Source organism: Homo sapiens, chromosome 6, assembly GCF_000001405.40.
Source record: "Homo sapiens chromosome 6, GRCh38.p14 Primary Assembly".
Taxonomy (NCBI): domain Eukaryota; kingdom Metazoa; phylum Chordata; class Mammalia; order Primates; family Hominidae; genus Homo; species Homo sapiens.
Window position 1 is genome coordinate 121,585,027 of NC_000006.12, and position 8,713 is coordinate 121,593,739.

Here is an 8,713-nt window from a genome sequence, read left to right on the forward strand (position 1 = left end):
CAATAAGAATGACCTGTGATGATAATGAACTGCTCTGAAAAATCAGCCTGGTAAATTAACTTTTATGTTGACAAATCTTTCTTAGAAGTCAGTCTCTTCGCAGACTTATCTAGGCAAGGTTTCTTGTAACTCCCTCCCCACCCTTTCCTGTAGGTCATTGTTCTTAGAGGGAGTCACTAAAGGAAGTTCATCCTTCCTTAACCTTATACTTTAGCTAAGGAGAGAAAAAGATAAGGACATTTTTTTTTTTCCTTTTGTATGTTTGTAAGCTTCCCTGAGACCACAGTGGAGAACTGGGCTGAGGTCAGTGATGAAGAAGGCAAAAGCAACTATTAAAATAATGGTAGTGGGCTGGGTGCGGTGGCTAACACCTGTTATCCCAGCACTTTGGGAGGCTGAGGCAGGCGGATCACCTGAGGTGGGGAGTTCAAGTCCAGCCTGACCAACATGGAGAAACCCCGTCTCTACTGAAAATACAGAATTAGCTGGGCGTGGTGGCACATGCCTGTAATCCCAGGTACTCAGGAGGCTGAGGCAGGAGAATCGCTTGAACCCAGGAGGCAGAGGTTGCGGTGAGCTGACATCATGCCATCGCACTCCAGCCTGGGCAACAAGAAATTCCATCTCAAAAAAAAAAAAAAAAAAAAACTCCATCTCAAAAAACAAAACAAAACAAAACAAAACAAAACAATAATAACAATAATGGTAGTTGTAGTAAACAGCAATCTTTCCCAAATCTCAGAGTATCTCCCATAAATTACTACATTTCATTGATCCTCATAGTAAACCTTTTAGTAGTGTTGAAAATTATTTATATGAAATGGTTCATTAAATTTTTCTCTTCATTTACTTGTTGAGTCCCAAAGACCAATAATTTGTGCTCCTACCGAAGATGTCTGTCCTCTTCCCGAAAGGGAACAGCTTGGGGACTAACAGAGATAGACACCAGTCTAGAGACATGTGCAAGATTAATGATTATAATTTTATAGTTTTGTTTGTTTGTTCTTAGACTGAATCTCGCTTTATCGCCCAGGCTGGAGTGCAGTGGCAAGTTCCCAGCTCACTGCAACCTCCGCCTCCCGGGTTCAAGTGATTCTCGTGCCTCAGCCTCCTAAGTAGATGAGACTACAGGCATGTGCCACCACACCCAGATAATTTTTGTATTTTTAGTGGAGACCGGGTTTCAACATGTTGGCTAGGCTGGTCTCAAACTCCTGACCTCAAGTGATCCACCCAACTCGGCCTCCCAAAGTGCTGGGATTACAGGTATGAGCCACTGCACTCCACCCAATTCTATAGTTCTTGAAAAAAGGACTGACATACACTTATTATGGCTTTAAGGAACAGGTAGACAGCTAAACATATTTACTTGTTTCATTTTTTAAATGCTAGTAAAATATCAACATACCACAGATAAATTATAAAATTGTCAAACCTATACAAAGTAGAGGATAACATAAGGAATCTCATGTATTCATCACCCAGGTTTAACCATTTTCCCAGGTATTTTCCAATTTTCTCAGTAAATATTTCAATATGCATCTCAAATATAAAGACTGATTAAAAAATAACCACTTTCACACTGAAAATTTTGAAAATGATCCAAATGAAAATATTTACAGTGTCTTCACTTTAGATATTTCATTTGACATGAGAAAGTGTGGTATGATTTGGAGAAAAACATGAACCTGAAATAACCCAGTCCTCTCAGTTCTTTCTACAGGCTTAGTCCAATTGCACAGAAAAATAAACCAGGTCACTCCAGTAAAACAGTTGGTTTCTTTTCAGCTTTTTCATCTTCATTAGGGTTATGGATATATGAATGCAGATGCTGCAGAGTTAAAAGATAGAGTTTGTATATAACTTGACTTTCCTGAGATCAGCATATTGACCATTGAGACTCATTTGGAAGCATTAATGGAGCATACAACACTGAGAAATAAAACTCAGGAGATTGTGGTGAATGGTAAAAGAAGTCACTTTTGCCAGAAAACTCTAACAAAGTTTTTTTTTTTTTTTTTTTTTTTTTTAAGACAGGGTCTCACTCTCTCACCCAGGCTGGAATGTAGTGGCCTGAACACAGCTCACCGCAACCTCTACCTCCCGGGCTTAAGCAATCCTCCCACCTCGGCCTCCTGTGTAGCTGGGACCACAGGCGGGTGTCACTATGCCTGGTTATTATTATCTTTTTAATTTTTTTTGTAGAGACAGGGTCTCACTATGTTGCCGAGGCTGGTCTCAAACTCCTGGACTCAAGTGATCCTCCTGCCTCAACCTCCCAAAGTTCTGGGATTATAGGCATGAGCCACCACAGCAACCTAGAAAGAATATCTTTAAAGTTGCAGAGTGCAGGCAGGGATGTTATGTAACACCAATGAAAGATACTATTATCTGACACCAGTGTCACTCACTTTGGGGTATAATAAGAATTTTAATGATGACGATAATAATGATGATTTTTGAGACAAGATCTTTCTCTGTACTGGAGTGCAGTGGCTTGAACACAGGCTCACTGCAACCTCCACCAGGGGGGCTCAAGCAATCCTTCTATCTTAGCCACCTCAGTAGCTGGGACTACTGGTGTGCACCACGATGCCCGGCTATTTTTTTTTTTTTTAATTTTTTGTACAGTCAGGGTCTCACTATTTTGCCCAGGCTAGTCTCAAACTCATGGATGCAAGTGATTCTTTCACCTTGATTTCCCAAAGTGCTAGGATTATAGGTACAGGCACTTTGCTTGAACTAGGCATGAGCCACCACATCAGCCTAGAAAAAAACTTTTTAAAGTTTTTTAAAGTTGCAGAATGCTGGCAGAGATGTTACATAATACCATTGGGAAGATAACAATTTTCCGACATGGTTAATCTTTTTTTTTTTTTTTGAGATGAGGTCTCTCTCTGTTGCCCAGGCTAGAGTCTCCAGTGGTGTATTCCGGCTCACTGCAGCCTCAACCTCCCAGATACAAGCTATCCTCCCACCTAGCTGGGACCACAGGCATGCACCACCACACCCAGCTACTTTTTAAAAATTTTTGGAGAGACGTAGTCTCTTTATGTTGCCCAGTCTTATCTCAAATTCATGGGTTCAAGTGATCTTCCTGCCTCGGCCTCCCAAAGTGCTAATGTTACATGTGTTGAGTCACTGTACCTGGCCTTAACTTTCTTCCTTTGCTTGCTCTGTCAAGTAAAAATGTATTTTTCTCCATACCTTCCTTTGTGTGAGAATGTAGAAGTAGTTTGGTTTAGAACTGTGTGTTTTTGTTTTTGTTTTTTTTTAAGAGATAAGGTCTTGCTATGTTGCCCAGGCTGAACTCAAACTCCTGGGCTCAAACAATCTTCCCATTTCAGCCTCCTGGGTAGCTGGGAGTAGCTGGCGCTTACCACTGCACTCAGCCTAATGGTTAACTTAATATGTCAACTGGGCTAGGTTATGATACTTAGATGTTTGATCAAACACGAATCTACATGTTGCTGTGAAGGTATTTTTTGGATATGATTAACATTCAAGTCAGTAGACTTTGAGTGAAGTGGATTATCCCCTATAATGTGGGTGGGCCTCATTCAATCAGTTGAAGCACAAGTTTGAGGTCCCCTGAGAAAGAAAGGATTCTGCCTCCAGATAGGCTTCAGGTTTGAGAATGTAACATCAACACTTCCCTGGGTTTCCAGGCTGCTGGCCTACCCTGCAGATTTCAGATTTGCTATCCTTTGCAATTGCATGAGCCAATTCCTTAAAATAAATCCATCTTGCTCTCTCACTTTCTCTCCGTCTCATATATCTATATATATATACACACATCCTATTGGTCTTATTTCTCTGGAGAACCCTAATACATAATGAACTCTTTTGTGATGTAGAAAAACAATTGCATCTAAACAATGATATATATTTTGACCAGGCTCTCAGCAAATCTGGAATCAAAAGATGTGAGTATTGTAAAAAAAACTTGGAGGTAATTTGCTCAAATTTTTAAACTATACATTGTTAAAAATTATAATAATAAGAGCCAAATGATTCACGTGTATTATATATAATCTTCATAACAACCAAGGATAATATTATACAATTTTATATATGAGAAGATGAGGCTCAGAGAAGTAAGTAAGTTTTCCAAGATGCTTGTTGCTGAGTCTGTATTGGAATTCAATATTATTTGAATCAAGTTTATTGTTTATTAAATTAGATGGCTCTTTTTTAATGCAGCTTTTAAATGCTTAAATATTTTTGGTGATACAGAGGCCACTATATGAAGACTGTCCATAGATATATCTATATATTTAACATCTTTCTTAGAAAGGTCTTCCATTTTTTGAGCTGAACTTTATCATGTATTTTGCCCTCTATAGCTACATTTCATTATGTTAGCTCTTCATAGCTATTTTACACAAAACAGTTCTTTAAAAACAATTTTTTTTAATAGGAAACAATTTTCAGATTCCTTCCCTCCAGATTGCTTGTACTAATCTCTGGCTAGCTGTTTGGTGGTAAGTTCCAGCAACTATTTTAAAAGTTTGACTCTAGGCCAGGCATGGTGGCTCACGCCTGCAATCCTAGCACTTTAGGAGGCTAAGACCAGAGGATCACTTGAGCCCAGGAGTTCAAGACCAGCCTGGGCAACATAGGGAGACCATGTCTCTACAACAAATACAAAAAACAGCCAGGCATGGTGGTGCACACCTGTGGTCCCAGTTACTCAAGAGGCTGATGTGAGAGAATTGCTTAAGCCCAGGAGGCAGAGGCTGCAGGAGCTGTGATTGTGCCACTGCACTTCAGCCTGGATAACAGAGACCTTTTTTTAAAAAAAAAAGTTTGACTCTAGTATCTTCTACCTAGAGAACAATGAAATACTTTTCCCTCTTGTTTTAGATACTGTGCTATCTTAATGTAGTCTATGATTTACTAGCTTTCTAATGTAGTCTTCTGTCTCTTTTTTGTATATTCCTTTTTAAGGACTGGTCACTCATGTTTATATCTGTATGATAGATATTTGCAGGACTTTGCATTTATCCACATTAAAATTTATATGATTAGTTTCAACCTAATGATTAAGTCTGCCATGATATTTAAAATTGTATGTTCTGCCTTTTTCAATGCACAAGTTTGGTAATCATGCTCTGTTAACTTACAGAAAGTTTAGTTTAGACATGTTAAATTTAAATATTGGAGTAACATGCTGATAGAAAAATGTGATGAGACTGATGGGAGAAAAATAAGGTTTTGGGCTTTATTTGCATTGAAACCCTAGTTGAAATTGTTATTAGTAAATTCGTGTTATGAAAAAATCCATTAAAAAAAGGAGAACATCAAGAATTGATCTTTGAGAAACAATTACGTTTAAACATGAGAAAGCTCACTTCAAGTAGAGAAGAGAAAGAAAAAAATATTTAAGCATTGGAATCAGCTCTTTTCTGAAACATGGTAGGGGTTCAATAAACATTTTTAGAAGTAGAATCTGTGCAAGAAGGAAAGGAGGAAAGCTTTGAGAGGAAGGGAAAAAAACCCTCAAAATGATATAGCATTGAGAAAGAGTGCAGTCTACACTGTCAACAATTGCAGACAGATCAAGGAGAATGAGAAGTGATTTGGCAATCATAAAAAAGGTTACCAGTGACATCAGAAGTAGCAGCTTTAGCCAAATGTTTGAGAAAAAAGTCACAATAGGAAGTGTGGAGGAGTGAATTGATGATGAGGACGCAGAGGTTGAGTGCAGATTACTTTGTCCAGAAGTTTAGTGCTTTAAGAAAGCTATTGGCCATTTGCTCTGCAGAGCAGTGAGACTGAATAAGTAGAATCAAACGATTTTGTAGTTTGAGTAGAAAAATTCACTAGTAGGGAGACTGATGATGTTAGAGAAAGAGGAATAATTAAAGATATACTATCTTGGGAAAAGCAGCCGGGATTGGATAAAGAACTGAGCGGAGGTTGTGAGGATGAACGTATTTTCCACAGAGTAATCAGGGAAATGCAGGTGGATGGGTTAAAATTCTGTGTCACATTCAGGTCAAGATTAAGCTGTTACCAGGGAGACAGAAACAAAGTGATTAAAATTGGGTCAGGAGAACTTCAGTAGCTTGATAATGAAGCGGTAATGATGGGATTGTAGTCATGGTTGTCTCAAAATATGTTGAATTAGCATTGGGGAGTATATTAGTGTGCTAGGGTTGCTATAAACAACAGTATAGCACCCTGGGTGGCTTAAACAACAGAAGTTTGTTTTCTCACAATTCTGGAATCTAGAAGTTCAAGATCAAGGTGTTGGCTAGGTCAATCTTCTGAGGCCTCTCTTGGCTTGTAGATGGTCATCCTCTCCTTGTCTTCACATGATCTTTTTGCTGTGCGTGTGTCCTCAACTCATCTTCTTACGAAGACACCAGTTCTATTGAATTAGGGCCCACTCAGATAATCTCACTTTGTTTACCTCTTTAAAGGTCCTATGTTCAAATAGAGTCACATTCTGAGGTACTAGGGGTTAGGACTTTAACACATTAATTTTCCTGGGGGGCACAATTCAGCCATAAAAGAAAGAATGCAGTTAACAACAGACAAAAGAATTCCATTTCTTTGCTTTTCTTTCTTTCTTTTTTTGGAAACAGGGTGTTGCTCTGTCGCCCAGGCTGGAGTGCAGTGGTGTGACTGTGGGTCACTGCAGGCTCAAGTGATTCTCCCACCTCAGCCTCATGAGTAGCTGGGACTACAGGTGTGTGACACTACACCCAGCTAATTTTTCTTTCCTTTTCTTTTCTTTTTCTTTTTTTTTTTTTTTTTTTTGAGACAGGGTCTCTGTCACCAAGGCTGGAATGCAGTGGTGCAATCTTGGCTCACTGCAACCTCTGCCTCCTGGGTTCAAGCAATTCTTGTGCCTCAGCTTCCTGGGTAGCTGGGATTACAGGCATGTGCCACCATGCCTGGGTAATTTTTGTATGTTTAGTAGAGACAGGGTTTCACCATGTTGTCCAGGCAGGTCTCAAACTCCTGGCCTCATGTGATCGACCCGCCTCAGCCTCCCAAAGTGTTGGGATTACAAATGTGAGCCACTGCACCCAACCCAGAATTCCATTTCTTTATTTTCTTATGTAGATGAATATGTTGTGGGAGTAGAACTTCTTAAAACTTTAGTGTGTATGTTTGGCAGAACAATGGCCCTGAAAGATATCCACGTCCTAATCCCTGGAACCTGTGACTATGTTGCCTTACATGGTGAAAATAACTTTTAGATGTGAAAGGTAAAGATTTTGAAATGACGGGATTATCCTGGATAATCTGAATGAGCTTAATCTATTCACATTGATCTTTAAAGCAGAGAAGCTTTCTGGAAGTTCAGGGTCAGAGGGAGATGTGATTATGGAGGAATGGTCAGAGAGATGTGACACACCTGGCTTTGAAGATGGAGGAAGGTAGCAGTGAGAGAAGGAATGTGGGCAGCTTCCAGAAGCTAGAAAAGGCAAGGAAGCAGATTTTCCCCTGCAGGGTCTAGAAAGGAACGTAGCCCTGGGCACCTTGATTTTAGCTCAGTGAAACCTGTGTTGCACTTCTGACTTATAGACCTGTAACATAATATATTTGTTTTGCTTTAAATCACTAAATTTGTGGTAATTCATCACAGCAGCTCTAGGAAATTAATAGGATGTGAGTAGGAATCACCTGGCTGTCTGTTGAAAATGCCGATCCTGATTCAGTAGGTCCGGGGTGGGTCCTAGGAATCGGCGTTTCTAACAAGCTCCAACGTGATGAACCACTCCTGCTGGATTGTGAACCACATGTTGGGTAACAAAGTTTGAGGCTCATGTATTCAAACCTCCTCATATTACAGATTGAAGCTTAAAAGAACTTATCAAACATTATTCAGATGGATATTGATAGTGCTGTCTTGAACTCCCAGTGCAGTACTTTTCTCACTGCACACTGACCCACCACAAAAAAAAAAAAAAAAAAAAAAAAAAAAAAAAAAAAAAAAAAACCCGCAAAAGAAAAGCCCATCTGGCAAGGAGAAGTGCCAGTGCAGTGTTTTTGCCAGTGTTTGGAATAATTGGCTCCAGAGCCTCTGCGTGTTTATGGTGCCTGCTGAGGAGGTCTGCCTGACACTTAGCTGATACAAATTGTTGTTAATTACCAACACTTTAGTAGACCAACAGCTGTCCGCTATGAGCAACAGCCAATAATAGCCCTCTTGGTTCCTAGGGGTTTCTAAGTTCCTACGTGTCAGCAAATTCAAGAGAAAAATGCCAAGGCAAATGGGCCTTTTACTGTGACAATTTAACAGAGTAATTTTCAGGAGGAGGCTCAGAAACTGTAGATCTGTAGATCATCTGTAAACACAGAACTGTAAGCATGGAGGGAATGTTCCTAGGGACCTGAAGGATATGTCCTATGTTTATCTTGTTGCCCAAGGCTCTCTGTAATTATGTGAGAGCAGAAAGTCAGCTGATCTCCTGGCAGATGGCACTGGCAAAAGAGTTTGAGAAAAACTATCAAGCTTATTAAAAAGGATAAAGAACTTCCACATAGCATGCAACAAAAACCCAATGTGGAAATGAGAAAGGAAAGGGTTCTAGGAATGTGGCCAGATCTTGTGATGAGAAGTTGGTGAACAGGAGATTATAAGGAGAATGGAGGAGAAACTGCACAAGCGAAGCTACTTGGAAACCTCACACTCTACAGAACAATAGGAAGATTAATAGGCTCCAGAAAAAAGGTTCTCAAAAAACTTAGTCCA